General features: G+C 42.0%; 1 protein-coding gene across 2 annotated transcripts in view, besides 3 other annotated features; it reads right to left on the reverse strand.

Annotated features, from left to right (window-relative positions):
* The window catches only part of FOXO1 (forkhead box O1), a 110,975-nt gene that overhangs the window by 73,048 nt on the left and 11,545 nt on the right, over nt 1–26,382 (reverse strand). Inside the window, exon 1 of one of the 2 annotated variants that reach the window (XM_047430204.1) lies at nt 16,625–25,607. The exons of the other annotated variant lie outside the window; for it this stretch is intronic. The gene's annotated coding sequence lies outside the window, so the exon portion shown is untranslated. Of the gene's footprint in view, nt 1–16,624; nt 25,608–26,382 lie in introns of those variants that run through there. 2 annotated transcript variants of the gene reach the window in all.
* Nucleotides 1,370–1,469: an enhancer, noted in NCBI's record as "active region_7612". NCBI's record gives its function as "activates an Ori minimal core promoter by ATAC-STARR-seq in GM12878 lymphoblastoid cells {active_cell/tissue: GM12878}" and the evidence as "EXISTENCE:reporter gene assay evidence [ECO:0000049][PMID:35858748]".
* Nucleotides 23,001–23,522: an enhancer, noted in NCBI's record as "OCT4-NANOG-H3K27ac-H3K4me1 hESC enhancer chr13:41225852-41226373 (GRCh37/hg19 assembly coordinates)". NCBI's record gives its function as "activates a minimal SCP1, AML or CMV promoter by ChIP-STARR-seq in naive and primed H9 embryonic stem cells {active_cell/tissue: H9 hESC(naive and primed)}" and the evidence as "EXISTENCE:reporter gene assay evidence [ECO:0000049][PMID:30033119]".
* Nucleotides 23,523–24,043: an enhancer, noted in NCBI's record as "OCT4-NANOG-H3K27ac-H3K4me1 hESC enhancer chr13:41226374-41226894 (GRCh37/hg19 assembly coordinates)". NCBI's record gives its function as "activates a minimal SCP1, AML or CMV promoter by ChIP-STARR-seq in naive H9 embryonic stem cells {active_cell/tissue: H9 hESC(naive)}" and the evidence as "EXISTENCE:reporter gene assay evidence [ECO:0000049][PMID:30033119]".

The following is a 26,382-nucleotide window of genomic DNA, read 5'->3' on the forward strand; positions in this document are numbered from 1 at the left end:
GGTAACAATGGTATAGAAGTACTTTGAAATAATACAAAACACTACTGGGAATCATTACCTTCACACATCCAAAGCCCTGCAGGCTCAACCTTCCTCTCCAGGTTGTCCCCCAGGCACCTGCTCTGAAACAGACTCACCTCTCACTCCCCTGAATCAAACAGTAACTGTACTACTACAGACAAACTGTGAGACCACCTATGGCCTACCATGTATATTTTTACAAGTGCATCTCGGGAATAAAATACACTTACCCAAACTCCCAAAGAGCAGGACCTGTGGGTGTCCCACCTTTATGTGCCAGCCCAAAGCCTTGTTCATTCATCCTAAGACCTCAATACTTGAATTCAACAAGGGATTGAACTAGGATTGGATCACAATGGTTGAAGAGGCCCAACCAACAAATGGCAATGAATAGTTAAAACAACATGACTTTTTTTTTTTTTTTCAGACAGAGTTTCACTCTTGTTGCCCAGGCTGGAGTGCAGTGGTGCAATCTCGGCCCACTGCAACCTCCGCCTCCCGGGTTCAAGCTATTCTCCTGCCTCAGCCTCCCGAGTAGCTGGGATTACAGGCATGCGCCACCACGCCCAGCTAATTTTGTATTTTTAGTAGAGATGGGGTTTCTCCATGTTGGTCAGGCTGGTCTCGAACTCCCAACCTCAGGTGATCTGCCCGCCTCGGCCTCCCAAGGTGCTGGGATTACAGGCGTGAGCCACTGCACCCAGCCAAACAACATGACTTTTGAACTGCCTAAGATTTCACAGCCTCTAGAGGTATATCAAGTGCAGACTGACTATCCCTTATCCAAAATGATTGGAACCAGAAGCATTTTGGACTTTGGATTTTTTCAGATTTTGGAACATTTGCATTAAACTTACCAGTTAAGCATCCCTAATCCAAAAATCCAAAACCCTCCACTGAGCATTTCCTTTGAGCATCATGTTGCCACTCAAGAAGTTTCAGATTTTGGAGCATTTAGGATTTTAGATTTTCAGATTAGGAATATTCAACCTGCATATGGACATAAGACCCATCCACCAATGGCCCTTGCTTCACATGCTCAGTGGGTTGTGGGCTTCGGCTAAAACCTGGGAGGAGATCACAGATTCAAAGTCTCCTTGTGGGGCACTGTGTTCTGTAAGAGGAAGCTACAGTTGAGAAGGTTCAAGGCAACTAAATATGTGCTAGTAAAGTGAGCATAAATCATTCTGAAACCAGAGGACCTACAACAAGTAGCCTGGTTTGGGCTTTTCTTGTGCTCAGCAGTCAAGTGATAAGAACCTTTAACTACATTACATCTAACATTTTTAATTTACAAAATAATGCCCACCACTTCAAAAAAATTGATAGTATTATATCTTCTACCTTTCTATGTCCAAAAAATAAGGGAAGGAGGTTTAAAATATAAGTAGCTAAACCAGGAACTCCAGTCCTGCCACAATGCTAGGCATATTTGTTCTAGGAATTCAAGTCCTGCTAATTTAAACAGCAAGGGGAACTGAAACTCTTGAGAATCTCTGATTATACAGAAAATCTCGGTGTCGTTTACACACAGGGCAAGCCAAGGGGATCCTTCTAAACAGTCTGGGGCTGTTTGCTTTTGTTCTTCTTTTTGTTCCCACTGAAAAGCAAAAATCATTTGTCAACATGGAAAAACCAGCCTGGTGCAGTAGCTCACGCCTGTAATCCTAGCATGCTGGGAGGCCAAGGTGGCAGATTACCTGAGGTCAGGAGTTGAAGACCAGCCTGGCCAACATGGTGAAACCCCGTGTCCACTAAAAATACAAAAATGTAGCCAGGTGCAGTGGCGCGCGCCTGTAATCCCAGCTACTCGGAAGGCTGAGGCAGGATAATTGCTTGAACCCAAGAGGTGGAGGTTGGGGTGGGCCGAGATCGCGCCACTGCACTCCAGACTGGGCGTGGGAGCAAAACTTCTCAAAAAAAAAAAAGGAAAAACCAGGAAAAGCTTGTCACTTAATGACTGGCCTGGCAAATAGGGAAAGAGCCTAAAACTATTTTTCCCTTCCCATACTGTGAAGACTACAAGCTTTGCCAACACCACTCCTCAACACCACTCTGTCATTTTTCTTTGTCTAAATCTTTTTAATTTCTTAAATGGGAAGGAAGTTGCCTTAAAGTATAATACCAAGATTCCCGCAGGGCACCACTCTGCAGGAATGTGGTTCAGAAACCAAGAATCAAGGGGCAATGCCTCCATACAGGTGAGGATTTTCCCACCCCAAAGAGGCTTACTAAAGTTAGGGGCAATTTTCCACCTAACATAAATTATGTTGTGGGGTGGATAAGTGAGAAAGAATAAAGCCGTTATGACCAATGAGGAAAAATGAAATGGATATAAAAACATTATTGCCAAGGTCTTTGTTCCAGAGTTCTCAATCATTCAGGGCCAAGAGAGGCTGGACTTAGAGTCCTGCAGGGTGGAGTGGCAGCATTGTGGAGGAGGGATCCCTGCGAAAAGTATTTATGCTGCAACTTTTCAGCATAACCAAAGCAGACCAACAACTAGAGCTTAAGTTTAGGGCCGCATTCCATAAACTATGACTGTGACCTCATGGCATATACCAAAATCAACTCAAAAGAATCAAAGACCTAAATGTAAGAACTAATACATTAAACTCTTAGAAGAAAACATAGGGATAAATCTTTCCGATCTTGGATTAGGCAATGGTTTCTTAGACATGACACCAAAAGCACAAGCTACAAAAGAAAAAAAAATAGATACTTTGGACTTCATCAAAATTAAGAACATTTTTGCTTCAAAGGACACCACCGTTTGTACATCCATATTCACAGCAGTACTATTCACAACACCCAAAAGGTGTCCATTGAGGGATGAATGGATAAACAAAATGTGATATATACATAGAATAGAGTAGGACACAAGTTACAACATGGATGGACCTTGAAGACATTGTGCTAAGTGAAATAAACCAGTCACAAAATAGGATTCCACTCCTATAAAGGACCTAAAGTAGTCAAATTCATAGAGACAGAAAGTAGAATGGTGGCTGTCAAAAGCCTGAAGAAGGAGGAAATGCGAAGTTATTGTTTAACAGACACAAAGTTACAGTTTTGCAAGATGAAAAGAGTTCTGAAGATGGATGGTGATTACAATGGGTTGGCATAACAAAATGAAAGTACTTAATGTCACGGAACAGTACGTTTTAAAACGGTTAAGATAGTGTATTTTATGTATATTTTACCACAAATTTTAAAAAAATAGGACACTACCTCCAAAAAAAATGAAAAAACCCAGCAGGGCATGGTGGCTCATGACTGTAATCCCAGCACTTTGGGAGGCCATGGCAGGTGGATCACGAGGTCAGGAGATGGAGACCATCCTGGCTAACACAGTGAAACCCCATCTCTACTAAAAATACAAAAAATTAGCCAGGTGTGGTGGCACATGCCTGTAGTCCCAGCTACTCAGGAGGCTGAGACAGGAGAATAGCTTGAACCTGGGAGGCAGAGGTAGCAGTGAGCCAGTATCACGCCACTGCACTCCAGCCTGGGTGACACAGCGAGACTCCGTCTCAAAAACAAAACACAAAAACCCCACAGAATGGGAGCAATTATTTGTAAATCATATATATAAGGGATTAGTACCTAGAATATATGAAGAATTCTTAAAACTCAGTACTAAAAGGACAAATAACACAATTTAACAATGGGCAAAGGGACCACTTGAGCCCCGGAGTTCGAGACCAGCCTGGACAACATGGCAAAACCCCATCTCCACTAAAAACACAAAAATTAGCCAGGGGTGGTGGTGGGCACCCGTAATCCTAGCTACTTGGGAGGCTGAGGCACGAATATCTCTTGAGCCCGGGAGGCGGAGGTTGCAGTGAGCTGAGATAGTGCCATTGTACTACAGCCTGAGCGACAGAGCAAGACTCCATTTCAAAAAAAGAAAAGAAAAAAAAAGAGCCGGGCACAGTGGCTCATGCCTGTAATCCCAGCACTTTGGGAGGCTGAGGCAGGCAGACTACCTGATGTCAGGAGTTCAAGACCAGCCTGGCCAACATGGTGAAACCCTGTCTCTACTAAAAATAAAAAAAAATTAGCTGGGCATAGTGGTGCATGCCTGTAATCCCAGCTACTTGGGAGGCTGAGGCAGGAGAATCACTTGAATCCGAGCTGAAGTTGTGCCATTGCAAAAGAGTGAAACTCCATCTCAAAAAAAAAAAAAAAGGAAAAGAAAAAAAAAGGGCGAAGGATCTGAGTAGATATCTCTCCAAAGAAGATATACAAATAGCCAATAAGCATATAAAAAGATGCTTAACATTATTTAGCATCAGAAAAATGGAAAACAAAATTACAGTGATACCACTTCACACCCACTAGAACGGCTAAAATAAACAAGACAATAACAAGTGTCATCAAGGTTGTAGAGAGATGAGAATACTCATACCTTTCATGGTAGGAATGTAAAATGGTGCAGCCACTTTTCAGCAGTTTGACAGTTCCTCAAAAGGTCGAACAAACAGTTCTTATGGCCCAAGCCATTTCATTCCTAGGTATATACCCAAACCAAGAGAAATGAAACATACATATATGCACATAAAAAAACTATACATGAATAATCAAAACATTATTAATAACAGCAATAATTTTGAAATGTGGGGAGGTTTTGAAATTATTTAAAATCAACTGATAAATGGATAAAATATACTATTTCCATACAATGGCATATTAATTGGTAATAAAAAGGAATGATACTGATACATGCTACCACGGGAATAAACCTCGAAAATGTTATGCTAAGTCAAAGAAGCCAGTCAAAGGAGATCACATATTGTAAAATGATACCATTTATACAAAATGTTCACAACAGGCAAATCCATAAACACAGAGAGTAAATGCAGGTTAGGGAGATATGGGAAGAATGGGGAGTGACTGGTAGTAGATTTCTTTAGGGATGATAAAAATGAAAATTGTGGTGATAGTTGCCCAAACTCTTGCAAATACACTAAAAACTATTGAATTGTACTCTTTAAGTGGGTAAACTGTTATGTGAATTAGATCTCAATAAAGCTATTATTAAAAATAGAATGTAGATTTCTTTATCCATTTCATACTAAAAGATACATAGTCACAGTAACTTTATAAATGGCCAAGGAAAGAATTCCCAAGACTCCTTATGCTCAAGTATAGAAACTCAACTTTCCTCACCAAAGGCACACATCAGTAGAAATGCATGCTATTCCTATTTTGCCAAGCACCCAGGTTCATCAAAATAAACTTATGAATTACTGTACCTAGTAAAGCACTCACTATCAGGGTTGGAAACTGAATTATGGGAAGTTTCATACCTATTCTCTGGATGAGGCACTTTACAATCTAGTAACTGACAACAGTTCTTCAACATCAAACTGTTAGCCCACATGACAGGTATATGACAGGGTACCAGGACTGTGTGATTTTACAGTAAAATGTAAAGAAGTTTCCCTTTGCTAATAAAACTGCCCACGACAAATTCCCTTTAGTTTTTCCCAATGATACCAAAAAGCCTTGCTTTGTGTTGGACTAATCTGCAATAGAGAACTCAACAATTTAACTGGTTCATATCCACACAACTGCATACAAGAAAATGTAATTATTACACCTTGCTGTATAGACAGTATCAAATCTCACTTAGGCATTAACAAATGAACACTCCCACATTCAATAAACTAAACACAAACCTAAGAAGCTGCAGAATACACACAATTTAAGTCACTCCAAGTGTATTAGTAAGAAAAGTGAGCTAGGGCAACACAGACCCCATTTCTACAAAAAAAATTTAAAAATAAGCACCTGGGAGGCTTAAGGCAGGGCAATCACTTCAGCCTGGGAGGCCAAGGCTGTAGTGAGCCATCATCATGCCACTGCATTCCAGCCTGGGCAGCAGGGCAAGACCCTGTCTCGACAACAACAAAAAAAGAAAGCAACAAAGGTGGCTTTAGTACTTTTTTTTTTTTTTTAGACGGAGTCTTGCTCTGTCGCCCAGGCTGGAGCGCAGTGGCGCAATCTCAGCTTACTGCAACCTCCACCTCCTGGGCTCAAGCAATTCTCCTTCCTCAGCCCCGAGTAGCTGGGATTACAGGTGCCCACCACCCCGCCCAGCTAATTTTTGTATTTTTAGTAGAGATAGGGTTTCACCATGTTGGCCAGGCTGGTCTCGAACTCCTGACCTCATGGATCCACCCACCTCAGCCTCCCAAAGTGCTGGGATTACAGACATGAGCCACCGTGTCCAGCCCCAATTTTTAAAAACAAAACAAACAACCCTCTACAATTTCAACATCAATTTAGCATCATTCATTAAAATCTAAACCTCTAAACCCAACTCATATCATTTACAATTCATAAGCAATCATTTATATAAAAATCTACCTGGTAAGGCATATGGCATTGTTCTTTATTGCCTGAAACAAAGTATTAGATATCAGACAAAGAAATCGTAATACCTAGTTCTTCATTAACCAAAAAAATTTTTGAAAAATACTGGTTCCCATTCACTGTTTATTCCTCCTACGAAGAAACACAGGAGTAAATTTAAGATAAATTTTTTGCTATATGCTACTAAGTCTACAAGTAATGCTGTAATTCTGCAGCATCACAGAATCATTACAAGCTTAACATTTAGGGGAAAAAAAAACTGTTCCTGATAAAGAACACTTTAACCCACGAAGGTTAAGGACTTTTAAGGACTTAATTTCCAGTTTAATACTGCATCCATGGGGACCAGGTAGAAGCACTGTTTACATCACTGAGTCAGTTTTCAAAATATCATCATCCTGGTCAGTTTTGCTTTTACTCAGCTTTATAATCTGCTTGTCAAACAAATAACCTGCTAAGACTACAATGAAAATATTTTCATTACCACGAGTCTGGAAGAGTATTTTTACAGAGGAAAATTGAGATGTCATGTCTGGGCAATCCCTTAAGCTAAATTTCTCACCTCTAATCACTGCCCTCTACAGTCAATAAGGCTGATGCCTTGTGCAGGAAAGGCCTCTGGATGGTCAGGCACACCACTGAGGAGAGTGAGTCCTCTCCCCTCCACTGAGGGCCTGCCCTGCCCACTTCTGGGGACGTGACAGAGGTCCCAGCCATCAGGATGAGCTGTACTCTACCTGCTGCCCCTCCCTGGGGACCAGATGCATGCATGTGACAGACCCACAGTGGCGCCCATCTGTAAAAACCAGTGGGAGCCAGCACTGTGGCTCACCCTGTAATCCCAGCCCTTTGGGAGGCTGAGGCAGGCGGATCACCTGAGGTCGGGAGTTCGAAACTAGCCTGGCCAACATGATGAAACCCTGTCTGTACTAAAAATACAAATATTAGCCAGGCGTGGCATGGTGCGGTACACCTGTAGTCCCAACTACTTGGGAGGCGGAGGCAGGAGAATCGCTTGAACCTGGGAGGCGGAGGTTGCAGTGAACTCAGATCTCACCACCCTACTCCAACCTGGGCCACAGAGCGAGATTCCATCAAAAAAAAAACAAAAAACAAAAAACAAAATGGTGGGGTCTGTTAAACATTTGCCACACAAGCTGTACAACCTCAAACAAGGTAGGGTCCTCTACCTCTCTGGGTCTCCATTTCCTGACCTGTAAAATGTTGATGATACTTACACCATGAAAGGCTACTGTAAGAATAAAATAATGGGCTGGGCCCAGTGGCTCATGCCTGTAATCTCAGCACTCTGGGAGGCCAATATGAGAGGACTGCTTGAGGCCAGGAGTTCAATACCAGCCTGGTCGATATAGCAAGATCCCATTTCTATTTTTCAAAAACTTTTTTTTTTTTTTTTTTTTGAGACAGAGTTTCACTCTTTGTTGCCCAGGCTGGAGTGCAGTGGCACAATCCCAGCTCACTGCAACCTCCACCTCCTGGGTTCAAATGATTCTCCCGTCTCAGCCTCCCAAGTAGCTGAGATTACAGGCATGCACCACCACACCCAGCTGACTTTTGTATTTTTAGTAGCTGGTCTCAAACTCCTGACCTCAGGTGATTCACCCGCCTTGGACTCCCAAAGTGCTGGGATTACAGGCGTGAGCCACCACACCTGGCCAAAAAATAATAATAATATTGTTTTAAAAGAAGGAAATAACAAGAAGCCTAGCACAATACCTGGTGGAGTACAAGTGCTAGGCTGAATAAACTACTGTAATTATAAACAGTGACTTTTCCTGAATACTATGCGCTAGGTACTGTTCTTTAGGCACCTTACCATGTATTATTAATTTATGTAGCTCTCATAACAACCCTTGATCATTATTGCACCAACTTACAAATGAGGAAACTGAGGCATGAAGATTAAGAACTTCATTCACAAGTGGAGGAAGGTTGGATTCAAACTTGACAGAAAGATACCCCAACTCAACACTGTGACAGCCTTTCTGGTGGCAGTGGCAATTGATCCCATGTAAAAAGCTTATGGCCGAGCGCGGTGGCTCACGTCTGTAATCTCAGCACTTTGGGAGTGCCAAGGCAGGCGGATCAGGAGGTCAGGAGATTGAGGCCATCCTGGCTAACACGGTGAAACCCCGTCTCTACTAAAAATACAAAAAATTAGCCGGGCATGGTGACACGTGCCTGTAGTCCCAGCTACTCAGGAGGCTGAGGCAGGAGAATAGCTTGAACCCGGGAGGCGGAGGTTGCAGTGAGCCAAGATCGTGCCACTGCACTCCAGCCTGGGCAACAGAGTGAGACTCCATCACAAAAAAAAAAAAAAAAAAAAAAAAAGGTTACAATAGGTCCTGCTGGGATTTCACCCTCAACCTTACGTCTTCCTAGCTATCAAATTTTAACCAACTCAAAAAATGTCAGCCTTCTATTTTCTGCTTTCTATATATAATCTGTACTTCACCAAAGTAATGATAATAATAGCTACCATTTATAAAACACTTCCTACACAGCAAACGCTACTCTAGAACACATTTTATGTTTTGTTCAATTCTCACAACAACCTATAAGAGTTACTATTTACATTCTTCACACGAGTAAAGAGCAGCACAGGAGGTCAACTGCCCAAGTGATAAAGTTGGTAAGCACTGAAGGCAGAACTCCACCCAGGCAGTGTGACCGGCAAACCGAAGCACTTACGCACTCTACTATACTGACTTCCTCAGCAACTACTCACTTTATGGGAATAACTGGTTATTTAGATAAGCAATACTATACAGAACTGCAGAAAAAGTTCATGTTTATCTGTATTACAGATGAGACTAAGATACTGGAGGCACCACACTTAGGGTCATTTGCAAGCTGTAGTACACATTTTACTGCCAACAGTCCACTACTGAGTTAACAGTGATATGTCTACCCACTTAAAAGTTTTTGTATTTTAAAAAATTCTTGAAATTTGGTTTTTCTGTCAGTAGACTTCAGTGGCAGAAAGGCTGGAATGCTGTGAAGGTTCTTTCTGTTTCTAAATTTAGGAACAGCAAGGATTGGTTTAGGGTCAGTTTAGTACAATGACAGCAGTGAACCAGATCATTTAATTTAAGGACCTAGTAATTTAAAAGGATGCACTAGAAAAACATGTCAAGCCAGATGAGAACCTCTGGCATCACCATCATCACCATAAGGAGATAACTTATAGAGGAACGTTGAAGTGATGTAAGGAAGACATTATATGAAAGAATACATTTTTGCTTCTCCAACAAAAAAAAAAGCTAAAATTTGTCATTTTTAAATGTCTGTTTCATTCCCATTGTGTGTGAGAAACTAAATATTAAGATGTTTCCTGGGACCAGAAAGGAAAAGTAAATAGAATTCTGCCCTTAAAAGCTTACAGTCCAATGAGATTTGGGGGCGAGAGACTAACTCACAAAAAGTTCCAAGAGAGAGCACACCTGTTAAGGGGGGAATCAAAGGAAACAGAGAAATCCCATTCAATTGGGGAGGAAATCAAGACAACAAGCTTCACAAAAAAGGCAGCAAAATAGGCAGTCTGGGAGGAGGAGGAGGGGGCCTAAGGTTTCAGAAGGTGGCAATGGTCCTAGGAAAATACATGCCCACTCACGACAGTGGTGAGAAGTGGTCATCAGAAGGATGGGCACTGTATTCATACTGTGATGAGGCACTGAAGGCAGTAGAAACTTCAGACCATCACTGGAAGTTCTGAAATGGAAGGAAGGGGGGCAGGGCAGCGCACCACCTCTGTAACTCCAGAACAGTCACTAAGGCCAGGCACGGTGGCTCACGCCTATAATCCAAGCACTTTGGGAGGCCAATGCGGGTGGATCACCTGACGTCAGGAGTTCGAGACCAGCCTGACCAACATGGTAAAACCCCGTCTCTACTAAAAATACAAAAATTAGCCAGGTGTGGTGGTGCGTGCCTGTAATCCCAGCTACTTGGGAGGCTGAGGCAGGAGAATCGCTTGAACCCGGGAGCAGGGGGTTGCAGTGAGCTGAGATCAGATAGTGCCACTGCACTCCAGCCTGGGCAACAAGAGGGAAACTCTGTCTTTAAAAAAAAAAACAACAACAGTTACTAAGACAATGAAAAGGGAAGCAGGGATATGGAGAAGGTTCAAGAGCCAGCAGAGTGACTCATCTCTTCAGAGGTCACAAGCCTCAGGGCTGATGGAATAGGAGGTCAGACCCTCTGACAGTCTAACCCTGCTTGGCCCTACCACAGGGTCGCCTGTCAGTAGTCCAGAGCCCTACACGTCATTCTTCTAGTTTTAGGTGCAGTAAATAAAAACACTAGTAACTAAGTTAGGAATTCTCTCAGTTTTTTATTCCAATAGTTCAAAATCACTCACTAAGCAACAAAGGCATTTTCATGCAGGAAAAAAATAAACTAATTTTGTCTAGAGCAGGGAGGGTTTCACAACTTCAGCACTACTGACACACATAGTGGCCAGCACTACTGGTCAGATAATTCTCTGTTATGGGAGGTCGGTCCTGTGCTTTGCACGGTGTTTAGCAGCACCCCTGATCTCTAATCACTAGATGCCAGTAGCAACACATCCCCACCCAAGCTGTGACAACAAAAGATGTTTCTTGAATTGCCAAATGTCAGAGGGACCAGCTGAGAACCACTAGCCCAGTCTTTAGCAGAGGAAGAATTTAGACCTAATTAGAAGTTTTTTCCTTTCTCCCTTCTATCTGAAAAATCTTCGAAAATAAAACGACTGAGAACGGGAGAGAGCAACCTTTGCCTTATGTGGCAAACCCAATCCCTCAATCCTCACGACAATCTTAGCAAGTGCTATCCTCATTATACATGTGAGAAAACCTATCCTTAAATGTTAATTTGTCCAAGGTTAAGTTAAACAAGCTTGAACGGATTTGTGACAATACTCAAGGTTCTAAACACTACAGAACCTCTGCCCCCACAGGGCCATAGATTCCACTCCTTGAATAAAACAAACATTAAAAACTCTAGATAATCCTACACTAAAATAGCACAAATCCTGTCCATCTATTAGGAACCAATTACTCAAGAAAAAGCTAAAGGGCCACACACTTCATGCAAGCATCATATGTAAAGGGAATTAAAAGAATTGCTTTAGGTCACTGTGATTTCTTTTAAAGGATAAGGAAAGGGAAAGGGAGGGACGATGAACATTATTTGGAAGCAGAGTCCTAAGCCAAGCAATGTCTGGCTCTGAAGGTAGCCCTGGTTACCACTGCCTCTGAACTACACTACACTCTCTCTCTCTAAGTATCGTCCAAAGCAAAACCAAAAGACTTTCTCAATGAGGGCGCTCCTGGGCGCTATTCTGCTCATCTGATGATCCAGTTAGAAGGGCGGCTTTAGCATCCCCCAAGCCCTGAGTCTCAGGACCTCAGTCTGGAGCAGGTCACTTCGCTTCTCTTCACCTCAGTTTCCTGTGCATGCAATAGAGACAGTACCTAATGGGAAGGACTGACCTGTTCTTAGTAAAATGTGGATGAAAGCTTAAGGATTTCTTTTTGTCCTCGTCCCTTAACTAAAGTATCAGTAGCCTTCCTGAAGCTTAAGCTCACCCCAAGAACAAAGTATTTTCTGTCCAAACAGGTCAGTGTTTGTTATTTCTTTTGTTGTTGTTGTTGTTGTTGTTGTTGTTGTTGTTGTTGTTTGAGACAGAGTTTTTGCTCTGTTTCCCAGGCTGGAGTGCAATGGCACAATCTCGGCTTACTGCAACCTCTGCCTCCTGGGTTCAAGCCATTCTCCTGCCTCAGCCTCCCAAGTAGCTGCGATTACAGGCACCTGCCACCATACCCGGCTGATTTTTGTATTTTTAGTAGAGACAAGATTTCACCATGTTGGCCAGGCTGGTCTCAAACTCTTGACCTCAAGTGATCCACCCGCCTTGGCCCTCCAAAGTGCTAGGATTACAGGCGTGAGCCATCGTGCCCGGCCAGTGTTTGTTATTTCTATGTGCCAACCCCACAGCAACAACAAGGACAAGTTTCCATTCCCCGTAAAAGGAGGTTCTTTTCCTCCGTCTTCTAGGCAGTATGTGTAGGGGGTGACAGAGCCAACAGTGAAGCCAACTAAATAGAGCCTTCCTATCCATCTGGTGAGGAAACCACAGGCAACTCCTCTTCACCACACCCTGAGCCACGACAGGGTTACTTGGTCAACTCCTCCCAACCGCTCATTAATCATCACCACAAACACACCTGAATTATTCTCCTTAGAGAACAATTCACTAATACTTTGACATAAATCTCATTATATCTCATTATATATATCATATATATATATATCATTATATATTTTTCATCTTTAAGAGTCTAGTTAACTAGCTGGATGAGCCAGTAAGACTTCTACCATAGGATTGTCAGTATGTGCATTAATTGTTTAGATTCTGTTAATTAACTGATTATTTAGCCGTTAATTTTATTTTACTTTAGTATTTCCAGTTTCAAATTTAAGTCCTAGTTTTTTTCTCCAAAATTCCAAAGATAATTATTCTCTTTGCTGTAGCAAACTGAAGTGATTAAGAGTCACAGACCTAGGTTAAAAACCCACTGACAGCTGGGTGCGGTGGCTCACACCTGTAATCCCAGCAACTTTGGGAGGCCGAAGCAGGCAGATCACTTGAGGTCAGGAGTTCAAGACCAGCCTGGCCAACATGGTAAAACCCTATCTCCACTAAAAATGTAAAAATTAGCAGGGCATGGTGGCGCATACTTGTAATCCCAGCTACTTGGGAGGCTGAGGTGAGAGGACCACTTGAACCTAGGAGGCAGAGGTTGCAGTGAACCAAGATCACACCATTGCACTCCAGCCTGGGAGACACAGCAATACTCCATCTCAAAAAATAAATAAATAAATAAATACACATTGGCATCTTGAGTCCATTTACTGTGTAACATTCAAGAAATTACTCAACTTCGTGTCTCAGTTTCCTCATATACAAATTGGGGATAGTGGGAATATCTACATTATATGTTTATGAGACTAAAATAAAAGGCATTTATAGCAGTGCCTGCCACAGTAAGCACACAATAAATATCAGCTTCTTTTTTGTAGCTAGTGTAACTTCACTGCTTTGAAAAACAGGTCTAATTCTATAGATTTTTTTCACATTCTTAAGAAGTGCTAGGATATGTAGCAGATGCAACCAAACCCCAATCTAGACATACAGTCAGCGAATGTCCTCTCAAAAAATGGGCATTCCCTCAACCAGTGTACTTCCCTCAATCAGTCTGTCTTCACTTTTGCACCGGCAACTATACTCCAAAAAGGTATCTCTCATGCCTGTCACCACATATAAATGTAAATTTCAGTTTCAGTGGAAATTTACATCTATACATCCAGACTATCAGATGACAGATATAAGCTTGGCAAACTTACCCTTTGGAATCCTAACATGATCAGCTCAGTCCTGTCTCACTGCCTATCCCATAAAAGACCCTCTAAAGTTTAATTCCAGCCCTCTGTTCTTCCCTTTAACAGCATAAATAGGCTGGGCAGGGTGGCTCATGCCTGTAATCCCAGGACTCTGGAAGGCCAAGGCAGGTAGATTGCCTGAGCTCAGGAGTTCGAAACCAGCCTGGGCAACATGGCAAAACACCGTCTCTACCAAAAATACAAAAAAGTAGTCTACCATGGTGGCGTGCACCTGTGTCCGAGCTACTTCAGAGGCTGAAGTGGGAGGACTGCTTGAGCCTAGAAGGTGAAGCCGAGACTGTGCCACTACACTTCAACCTGGATGAGACAGAGTGAGATCCTCTCCCAAAAATAAAAAATACAAATAATCTCAAGTTTGACTTGCTTGAATCCAAAATTCTCTCAAGGAGGAGAGCCTGAAAACCACAAACAGCATTTTCATTTCAAAATTGTTAATGTTTCTATTAAAAGTGTTTGTTACTTAAAATGTAATACAGGACCGGGCGTGGTGGCTCATGCCTATAATCCTAGCACTTTGGGAGGCCAAAGCAGGTGGATCATTTGAGGTCAGGAGTTTGAGACCAGCCTGGCCAACATGGTGAAACCCCGTCTCTACTAAAAATACAAAAATTAGCCAGGTGTGATGGCAGGCACCTGTAATCCCAGCTACTCAGGACACTGAGGTGGGAGAATTGCTTGAACCCGGGAGGCAGATGATGCAGTGAGTCAAGATCGCTCCACTGTACTCCAGCCTGGGTGACAAAGTGAGACTCCGTCTCAAAAAGAAAAAAAAAAAAAAAAGAAAAGAAGATACATATGTATAACTTACCCGTATTTATACACTCCAAATACAACCCACTGCAAACTCTGGGTGTATTTCCTCCCGAGTACAGCTATACAGTAGAGCCTAAGATACTTCACATAATTGAAATCAGTTGATATACAATTTTATATTCCACTTTCTCATGCTGCCAGGTTATTTCCCCATCCCATCAGAAGTTCTTCCAAAGCACAAAAACAATATAAGTCTGCCAGAGCACCCTTATCAAACTTGCTACACAATTACTAGGAATGCTAGGAAAGATAGGTCTAAAGGTTTTGATTCTTTCTTTGGTTCTGATCTTATGTTTTTATGTAAAAATATTCCATATAATCCTAATGTCCGTAATTTAAAAAAAAAAGAAAAAGAAAACCCCAGAATCTCAGGTGTGCTAAGCTTTAAGTCCAAGTATTTTGGCTAATGCTATTGCTGTATAATACAGCATAATTACACAGCTCCTTCCTTTGAGCACCTCAACTTGTCCTACAAGTACTTCCCAGCAGTATCATTATCCCCATTTTACAGATGACGATGCTAGTACCGCAGTGATGTGACTTGTCTAAATAGGAATTATCTGGTTACCAATGCAGAAACAGAACCAAAAACTCCTAATATTTACTGCAAAATTACAGATCTAAGTTAGGCTCATGAGTGCATTATAAAGAGCAAATGCTAGAGGGAATTCTGATCATTCTGACGTGACCCCAACGTGAGTTTTGGAATACTGTAGTGATCTAAAGACATCCTCCCAGGGCATGCCAGTAAATATATCTAACCAGCACCTTTTGTCCAGTGATCTCGAAGCAAGTTTTGCAGACACTAGCACTGGATGGCCCATTATCATGCTCCAAAATTACAGGTGGGAAAACTGAGACAAAGGAAATTGAAACACATGTCCCCAACAATCTGCGATTAGCACAGGACTAGACTCCTCCTCTCACCTCACCGCACCCCAAGGGGAGCCAAGTAGGCAAAGCTTCCATGTGGACTGACAAGGAGAGTGAGGACTTTACTGCCTCTAACAGAAAGGAAAAATTTACTAGGAGAGAAAAGTAGGGTGGGAGAATGAAAGGAGGACCGATTAGAAGCCAGAGATAGAGTAAAAGCCAAATCTAACCAGAGCCAGAGAAAAAAAATCACAATGTTAAGACCTGCACGTGAGTCCGGTGGGATATACCAGGTCACACATACAATGATGGCTCAGGAACTTCTAAAGTGTTTTTCAGGAGCTTAGAGGCCTTGGTATTGGACATCCCAGTTATACAATTCCCGGTTTGATTGGGTCAAACCTCTAAACTCTCAACATATAAAATGTCTTTGGGATTATTCACCCAAAACACAGAGAATGGCAGTATTCTCTCCCATCCTCATTCAAGCACAAAAGCGAAACCACCCTGAGAATTTAACTCCTTTTACTAATGTTAAGAGACTTCTCCATCCAGTCCATGGTCTCATATTCTCTAAGCCAGAAGTTAAAATTAAGAACTTCAGAATGTGAAGGCAGCCAACACTACTCATCTCAAAGTTACTAATCTTAGCATTCAACACAGATGAGGCAGGAAGGCTGCAGAATTTGCTAAACCAGACTAAACCAGACTACTGCTGGCGACAGAGTCGAGACAACACTGAAAACACAAAGGCATTTAGCTCAATGACAACAGCTGGTGACATGCACATCTAGAATACTGAAATGGCTATGACTTCTTACCTCACACCTTGGTATTTCTGCATGAGTTTGTAGTTCTCTCCTCCCAAAAGTCAAATATGAGTTAATGACATGTCACAGTAGGAAAAGGATTGGGTAGGTGCAGTTTCAGTGGAAATTTACATCTATATATCCAGACTATCAGCTGCCAGAAAAACTGTTTCCCTCCCCTTCCCTGCTCATTTTAAAGGTCCTATTTACCAGAACACTATGAAGGTAGTAAAACTATGGTAAGACAAACACATACTTACATATTTTCAGTTTAAAAGGTGAAAGTACACAGAGGTAACTTCCATTTAGCTCACTCCCCTAAGTCATTCTCCTTGTGGATTTCCTCTTTACAGGCCTTAAGGTGACTTGCATCATGTTCACGCCCAGGGTGAAGTGTATCATCACCACCTGCAAATATTTCTAAATGGGATCAGTTCTATTAATAACAATGACTATTTCTAAAGGCAGTAATAAGTAAAACAGGGTTGTTGTAGCAAACTTAAAACTCACACCAGCAACCAGCAATGACCTTTAAAGAAACTTTTCATCTAATTAAAGTTAGAGAAATTTATTCAAGTCAAATATTTTAAATGAGGGGGCCGAAAATGAGAAGGAAAGCAAAGAAGAGATGAAAAACTAGGGAAGGGGAGTAGGAAGTGATCAAAAAGTACTCATTTTTAATATCAGCCATTTAGATGTGCACCCTCAAAAGTCATGGCACTGGCCGGGTGCAGTGGCTGACACCTGTAATCCCAGCACTTTGGGAGGCCAAGGCAGCTGGAGTTTGAGACCAGCCTGACAAACATGGAGAAATCCTGTCTCTACTAAAAATACAAAACTAGCCGGGCATGGTGGCGCTTGCTGTAATCCCAGCTACTCCGGTGAGGCTGAGGCAGGAGAATTGCTTGAACCCAAGAGGCAGAGGTTGTGATGAGCCTAGATCACGCCACTGCACTCTAGCCTGGGCAACAAGAGGGAAACTCCGTCTCAAAAAAAAAAAAAAAAGTCATGGCACTCTCCATTTAGTGAATAATTGAGAACAGAACAGATAGACTCCCCACAATCTACAATTTTAATTAGTCTATGATGGATATCAGCCTTAGATGGGAAATAAAAAAATTAATGAACAAAAAGCAAGCCTATTAATTGATTATTTGAGGGGTGTGAAGGAATTGTGGTTTTCTTTTTTAAAGCAAAAGTTGACTTCTGTGACCTTTTTTTTTTTTTTTTTGAGATGGAGTCTCGCTCTGTCATCCAGGCTGGAGTGCTAATTTTTGTATTTTTACTAGAGATGGGGTTTCACCATATTGGCCAGGCTGGTCTCAAACTCCTGACTTTGTGATCTGCCCACCTCAGCCTCCCAAAGTGCTGGGATTACAAGTGTTGGTGCCGTGAGCTGCGCCCAGCCAACTACTGTGACTTCTAAAAGGTGAATATTATAAAATTCTAGCTTAACCAATTTCCCTCCGCTTCATCGAATTTTGGACATTTGAACTTCATAACAATTCATTTTTGTTTTGTTTCGTTTTGTTTTGAGACGGAGTCTGGCTCTGTCTCCAGGGTGGAGTGCAGTGGCGCAATCTCAGCTCACTACAACCACCGCCTCCCGGGTTAATGAGATTCCCCTGCTTCAGCCTCCCAAGTAGCCGGGATTACAGACATGTGCCACCACGCCCAGCTAATTTTTTGTATTTTAGTAAAGACAGGGTTTCACCATGTCGGCCAGGGTGGTCTCGATCTCCTGACCTCAAGTGATCCACCTGCCTCAGCCTCCCAAAATGCTGGGATTACAGGCGTGAGCCACCGCGCCCGGCCTGAACTTCGTAACAATTCAAAAGGGATGTTGGGGCCCAGGACACACTACCCCAAAATATGACTGTAGGAGATCAGAATATGCCACCCCAAAATATACTTCCTTGGCATATTTTGAGCTGGTTATTCTGTGAAACTGCAGACACCAGAGTAGACAAGAAAAGCTGTCCTTTTGTAAAAGAAATTTGCATCCATAAAGGAAGTCTACATTAGTAAAGTATCTGTACTAGGATTAGGACTGCTCCAGACAACTTTTATTACCTGAGAGACTTTATCCCCAAGAGCAAGACAATCTTTATTCACCATATAATTCTTCCCCTCATCCTCCTTTAACTTGTGTGGCCACCACCCCACCAAAAACCTCAAACCCTAATTCTTTTCTTAGCTCAGTATACAATATAAGCTTCAATCATGCAACCTGCATTACATTTTGTGGGACTCTTGTGCAAACATAAGTATAAATAAAATGACATTTTCTCCTGTTAGAGTCTACCATGTGTCAATTTATTTATTTCTTCCCCTCCCCTGCCCAGAGATGGAATCTTGCTCTGTCACCTAGGCGGGAGTGCAGTGGCGTGATCTCAGCTCACTGCAGCCTCCACTTCCTGGGTTCAAGCAATTCTCATGCCTTAGCCTCCCAAATAGCTGGGATTACAGCCGTGCACCACCACATCTGGCTAGTTTTTGTATTTTTAGTGGAGATGGAGTTTCACCATGTTGGTCAGGCTGCACTCCAACTCCTGAGCTCAAGTGAGCCACCAGCCTCAGCGTCCCAGAGTGCTAGGATCACAGGCATGAGCCACCGCGCCCAGCTATCTAGTGTCAATTTAAATCATGGCCCAGCCCAAAGAACCTAGAAGGATGGGGGGAAGCCATTTTTCCCTGCTATATAGCTTCTGGTGCCCAATGTGGAGCATCCTTCACTGGCTGGAACACTACTAGCTCCAGGACTGTTCCAGCTGCAGGATCCTGAGACCCTGACAAAACGCCAGCTGTAGCTAAGACTTTTTACCACATTGGGCTCCCACATCTATGCCTGCAGAGTCTGGTCAAAGCAAGAGTGGTAAGAGTCTCTTTGTCTTTTCCCCTTTATCTGTATAATCCCCATTAACTTATAGCTGAGGATGCTCTATAAGTTTCAATCATCTGACTCTTCTTCGAGTCACCAGTGCATAAGAAAATACAATTTTTTTTTTATCTTGTTAGTCTGCCTTATGTCAATTTAATTATTGGCTCAGTCAAAGAACCTACAGTAGAGGAAAGCCATATTGTGTTCCCCTACAGGGATAATTATTGATGGAGGTGCTGATTACATTCAGGAAACAGAAGCACACTCATAAACTTTTAGTTGGTAGCAACAGAACACTCCCTTCCTCAGGTCAAAATACACACCGGCTAAGAGTTCCCTTTTGTAGCTCTTCCCAACTGTTGATACTCTGTACTGATAATACTAGTAAAGGCATCACAAAAAGTTCTTTCCACCATGTATACTTAGATGCAAAACAGTTCAAAAACCCAAAAATGTCAAACTAGTCAAAAAATAAATCCAAATTAAAAAATGCAAAAACTAAATATGATTGTTAGCATTTTCTTATTATTGTGCACTATTTTCATAGGCTCAGGCTTCCATAAAAAGCATGTGCATTCAACTATACACAGCAGAAATAAAATCATTAATACTTTCTTAGTGCATTCCAATTTTACTTTTTTCCTGTCTTCCTCTGCCGAAGGAGCCAAAATGTGTATTTCCCCACACTATCACAGGAAACAAAACAAGGGAATTCCACCTAAATTGAAGGATGTCAAATTCCCAGGCATAGCCAAGCAGGATGTCAAAGGTCATGCCCCATATCTGACCAGCCCAAAATACTATTAATATATTTATAGCTAGAATGAATAACCATAAATCCAAAAGCTTTAGCCTGATGAAAGATAGAAGGGGCATTAAAAATTAAGTTTTCTAAGCCTACATGGATATGCTGTCCTAGTAACATTCAGGTTCATTTGCACAATAAACATGATCTAACAAGTCATTATGCTCTAATCAACAGCCGTTGATGTGATGTGCCTTGTGCAGGTCTGCGGGAAAGTGGCTGCTAACTTGTTTCAGGCCAGAGTAACAAGATAGCAACCTGAGAGAGCAGGGACGTCCCCTGGAGAAGTAGGCTTTTGTGCAAAAAGCCCATCACAAACCTTAAGGTTTAATAAAAGTCAATGTCATTTTAAGTGAGTCTCAGCAAGCCACACAGAAACAAGCCTCATAGGGCACATGACTAAGTGGAAAGGGGTTGTCTTCATTTCAAATCCAAGGAGTGTATTCACACAGTTAAGGATCACAGACAATTCTGTCTTGAAAAGAATCCCTCTGATGCATTACTCTACAATCTGAAGTGTTTTAAGTTCTCATTTTATCTCTCTGACTTAATTACTTCTTCCTCCCAATACCCTTTAAAATCAATTCTCTAAAAAAATGGGGGGTGGGGAGTATAAATGAGGCTTAATTGGAGGCCCCCAAGTTGTCAATCATGACAGAATTGATGACTTCTGTGGATGAAAGTGTTTTCCTTTTCCCTTCTTGCCATAAACACAGGCGGAAGTCATGGTTAGTCTAAGAAACATAACCATCAACAGTTTGTCTTTGATTAAAATGTGTCCCTATTTTCATCGCAAAGGAAATTATTAAGTAGGGTCCTCCTATATGTTCAGCATTTTACATGACCCAAGATCATTTACATCGTTCAATGAGATCACAGAGCACAATAATTATTTTAATTTTTTTCTTAAAAATATAATGTATAAGGCATACAATCAAATTAGGTAATAAATTCAGAAATTGACTCACTTCAAACATATACCCTCCAATTGTGAGGAATGAGAAATTCACCATAAATTATGAGCTCCATCTGTACTGATATATTCCCTTCATTTTATTCCACATTCCCCACATTCTTCACCTCTAGTTCAGAATAAAGCAATCACACCAAAGAATGCAATGGCACAAACTTTAACATTCAAACTATTACAGGAAAGGGGTCCCAATCCAGACCTCAAATGACAGTTCTTGGATCTCCCACAAGGAAGAATTCTGGACGAGTCCCTAGAGTAAAGTGAAAGCAAGTTTATTAGGAAAGTAAAGTAATAAAAGAATGGCTACTCCGTAGACAAAGCAGCCCAAGGGCTGCTGATTGCCCATTTTTATGGCTATTTCTTGATGATATGCTAAACGAGGGGTGGATTATTCATGCCTCCCCTTTTTAGACTATATATATAGAGTAACTTCCTGACTTTGCCACAGCACTTGTAAACTGTCATGGGGCTTGTGGGAGTGTGGCAGTGAGAACAACCAGAGGTCACTCTCGTGGCCATCTTTGTTTTGGTGGGTTTTAGCTGGCTTCTTTACTGCAACCTGTTTTACCAGCAAGGTCTTTATGACCTGTATCTTGTGCTGACCAACTATCTCATCCAGTGAGTTAGAATGCCTTAACCGTCTGGGAATGCAGCCCAGTAGGTCTCAGCCTCATTTTACCCAGCTCCTATTCAAAATGGAGTTGCTCTGGTTCACACGCCTCTTGACAAAACTACTTTTTAAGAGGTTTGAATCTCAATTAAGCTGAACAGATTAAGAATGTTTATTTCTGAGTTAGGCACCAAAGGAAGGACAGTAGGCTAAAAAGAGATCACAAAGAAGGGCAGTGACACCCTGAGGGTCCACTCCTCAAGCACAGGGACAGGCCGATTCCAAGACCAACCTAAACACTCAAGAGCAGGCAGGTAATTATTGAAGCCTGTGACAATCATGCTTTTTAAATTGTTATTTTAATAATCTGGATTCTGCTCTTGTTTAGCTTTGGTTTTTGTTGTTGTTAATTGTTGTTGTTTTTTGAGATGGAGTCTCACTCTGTTACCCAGGCTGGAGTGCAGTGGCGCAATCTTGGCTCACTGCAACCTCTGCCTCCTGGATTCAAGCAATTGTCCTGCCTCAGCCTCCCGAGTAGCTGGGACTACAGGCATGCACCACCATGCCCAGCTAATTTGTGTATTTTTAGTAGAGACTGGGTTTCACCACGTTAGCCAGGCTGATCTCAAACTCCTAACCTCAAGTGATCTGCTGACTTCAAGTGATCCGCCAACCTCAGCCTCCCAAAGTGCTGGGGTTACAGGTGTGAGCCACCACGCACTGCCTAGTTTTTTTGGTTTTTTGTTTTTTGTTTTTTGTTTTTGTTTTTTTTTAAGAAACATGGTCCCAGTGTGTTGCCCAGCCTGGACTTGAACTCCTGGGCTCAAGGGATCCTCTGGCCTCAGCCTTGCGAATAGACAAGACTACAGGCACACAGTACTCTCTCTGCCTGGATGGACTCTGCTTCCTTTTTATAAAAAGTACGTTCTAGGTACAGTTCAGAACACTGAAAGTATCAAAATGGCACTTCAAGAAATACAAAGCACCTTAAAGAAATACCCAGAATTACTGGAATATAATTCCCTAGGAGAACCACTACAGAGCACAGAGGTCACAGCAGGGAAAGTATCCACTCCAAAACCAGAAAAGAGGATATCAATAACATCAAAACATGCCTAATTACAGGAATCTTTAACCCTGATAAATTTCCTTAGTATGAATTTTTTTAATTATACCAAATAACTTCAAGAGAGGAAAAAATAAAACATTTTGATGACCTCTAAAATGTAGTCATCAACTGCTAAATGTTTAAAAATAGTGTTTTATCATCATCAGAAAGACTTCATGTTAATACAAATACATGACATACAAATATACATCTAAATATACATTATATTTATAACATAAATATACATCTAAATATACATCATATTTATAATATAAATATAAGATTATAAATAAATTCAGGTCCTACAAAATTCATTCTATCTCAAAATTTCACAAATTCAACAAACTGCTCCAGGCACACCGGTAACAGAAGAGACTGGGAGTATGGGAATCTTTCAAATTCAACGTATGTAAATGTCATAATGGGCCACTGAAGAGAAAATTAAATCCTAAAAGGTTGAAGGGGAGAGACCAATTCAGTCATACAGATTGAAGAACTCTCAGGGTAGGATGATCCACAGGAAGCTTTCCCATTCACCACATGTAAATTTCATGATGGCCTACATACCTACCCATCCAGAGAGAAAAGTTTCCAATGCAACCAGCTTGGTGCCAAGTACACAAACAACCCCAATCGATATTTACAAGTTTTGCAAGTTCCCCTCTCCTCCCTCCCCACTCCCCGTTTAGGAGGTAGCCCTGCAGAGAGAGAGTTCTGCTGCAAACAGATGAGGTAACTGTAATTCAAGAGAGCCCACTTTCTCCTGTATTCAAATCACAGTATAGTATGAATGATGGCAGGCTGAAACCTACTGGTGTAACAAACTGGTGATTCTTTTTTTTTTTTTTTTTTGAGTTGGAGTCTCTGTCGCCCAGGCTGGAGTGTAGCGGCAAGATCTCCGCTCACTGCAACCTCTGGCTCCCCAGGGTCCGCCAACACGCCTGGCTAATTTTTGCATTTTTAGTAAACACGAGGTTTCGCCATGTGGCCCAGGCTGGTATCGAACTCCTAACCTCAGGTTATCCACCCGCCTAGGCCTCCCAAAGTACTGGGATTACAGGCGTGAGCCACCGTGCCGGCCCAAACTGATGATTCTGCAAATTAAACCTCACAGCTCATGAAGGCACATCATCTCTGATACAAAATTATGGTGACTGAACATGCCTATCTTGATGTTACTTATGCAACTCTATCCTGAAGGTTAGAGAAGAGAAAAAACCTTTTTCATGTCAAAATAGAACAATAAAATCCACATTGTGACCGTTACTACCTCAAGAATCTGCCAAAATAAGAGCTTCTAGCTAAACCATATGCAAACCATTTCCTTTGACCTTGCTTCCAAGCAACCAAAATGTCTCAAGTATTTGACGTTTACTTGTATGAACCACTCCCAAATATTTATGTGGTTATTTTGCTTTCAAGCTTTGAAGGACACAACATTTACAAGCCTGGGAATTAGGTGATTCAATTATAATTTCTCTTTCCAAACTAAATTTGAAATCTAAGTGCATTTCTCTTTTTTTTTTTCTTCAAGACAAGAGTATTGCTCTGTCGCCCAGGCTGGAGTGCAGTGGCACAATCTCGGCTCACTGTAACCTCCACCTCCTGGGTTCAAGCCATTCTCCTGCCTCAGCCTCCCGAGTAGCTGGGATTACAGACACGCACCACCACGCCTGGCTAATTTTTGTGTTTTTAGTAGAGGCAGGGTTTCACCATGTTGCCAGGCTTGTCTCGAACTCCTAACCTCATGATCCACCCGCTTCAGCCTCCCAAATTGCTGACATTACAGGCACGAGCCACCACGCCCAGCCTCTAAATGCATTTCTTTTCAGGTACAGAATGCAGGGTGCCTTTTCACTCTCACCCTTGCCACTGCTGCAAGATGAAGACCCTCTCATTCTGTGCTGGGGATTCCTCACTCAAAGAGGGGTTTTCGCTCAGCCACTTGCATGGCAGGCTTCTGAGCCTGGTACCCGCAGAGGAAATGCACTAATTTTTTAATTAAAAAAGGAAAACCAATATGAAAGGAGAGGGCCGAAACACTGAGGAGACAAAGCCCAGTGCCTCCCGGCCTCAGCTAACTCTTCAGAATACCAAACCATTGAAGAAATCTTTATCTTCCCACATAATGCAAACTGGTTTCCCTCTTCCTCCTTTCCTCATTAGGCCCAAATAAGACTTAGGAGGATTAATCATGCGCATTGGCTTTTTTACTGCAGTTACAAAATACAACCACAGAGGTTCCCTCCCTTTCCTGATGCCAGGTTCACTTGGCTACTTTCAGATTTTTAACTGAGCAAAAACCCAGCCCCTCACCAGTAAGTACTTTGTAAGTACTCACCAGTACTTACAAAGGCAGTACTATAACACCTTCAAGATGGGGAAACCACGGTTTTAAACAGAAACACATATTTTCCCTCAACATGGATGCTTTATCATATCTCTAACATAGTAAGAGTAGAGAGTCACAAAACCATGACCTATATTTTCCAGACTGTTAGAACAGCAATTGAGAAAAACTGTTTATCCAAGAAATATCTTTAATGAAACAAAAAAGAACAAAAGCATACAAGGGAAGCCCTCTCTTCCACCCTCTTTCTCATCACAGTTTTGCCCTTATCAGATAAGACAGGTAGGGGTTCCAGGGCTGTTAAGCTCATGGGGTATATCATTAGGACCAGCTCTGTAACTGGAACTGCTCAAAGAATGAATGACATCTTTATTAAGACAAACATCATCTGACCAGGCTCGGTGGCTCATGCCTGTAATCTCAGCACTTTGGGAGGCTGAGGTGGGCAGGTCACAAGGTCAGGAGTTCAAGACCAGCCTAGCCAAGACAGTGAAACCTCATCTCTACTAAAAATACTAAAAAAAAAAAAAAAAAAAAAAAAAAAAAATTAGCCAGGCGTGGTGGTGGCCGCCTGTAATCCCAGCTACTCAGGAGGCTGAGACGGAGAACTACTTGAACTCTGGAGGCGGAGGTTGCAGTGAACCGAGATGGTGTCACTGCACTCCAGCCTGGGCGACAGAGCGAGACTCTGTCACAAAAAAAAAAAAAAAGAAGAAAAAGAAAAAGACAAACATCATCTAGGGAGAAAAATACATCAACGCAGAAAAAAAAGATTTTCTTTTTAGGTCTCGAAGATCTGTATACAAGATGCTGGAACCAAGTCACACTGAAAAAGTTGACAGCCTGGAAATTTCTATATGTGGCTGGCCAGAGATGTATAAAGAATACAGTGGGGCTTACTGGAGATAACAGCACTTCCCAGATGAGGGGTGCTGCAGTGTAGACCAAGGGGCCACGACACTTTAGAGGTGGTACTGGCCTCTGAGAAGGCAGAGGTCTCTAAGAATTAAAGAACTCCTATGACTTAAGGTCAGCAGAGATAGGCTATCTTGAAAGAAATGATCTACCTCCCTTCCCTGAGGGAGATAAGAACCCTCAGGGAACCCTCCCTTCAAAATTAGAACCAAGATGAGAATGAAGTTGAAGGATGAAGATGTTTTATATAATATCTTTACTTACAAAAATTAAAAGACCAAAGATGTGCTGTAATTCTGAACTTCACTGGATCTACAAACATCAATAGTGGTCGGCAGGGCGTGGGGGCTCATGCCAGTGATCCCAGCACTTTGGG

Source organism: Homo sapiens, chromosome 13, assembly GCF_000001405.40.
Source record: "Homo sapiens chromosome 13, GRCh38.p14 Primary Assembly".
NCBI lineage: Eukaryota > Metazoa > Chordata > Mammalia > Primates > Hominidae > Homo > Homo sapiens.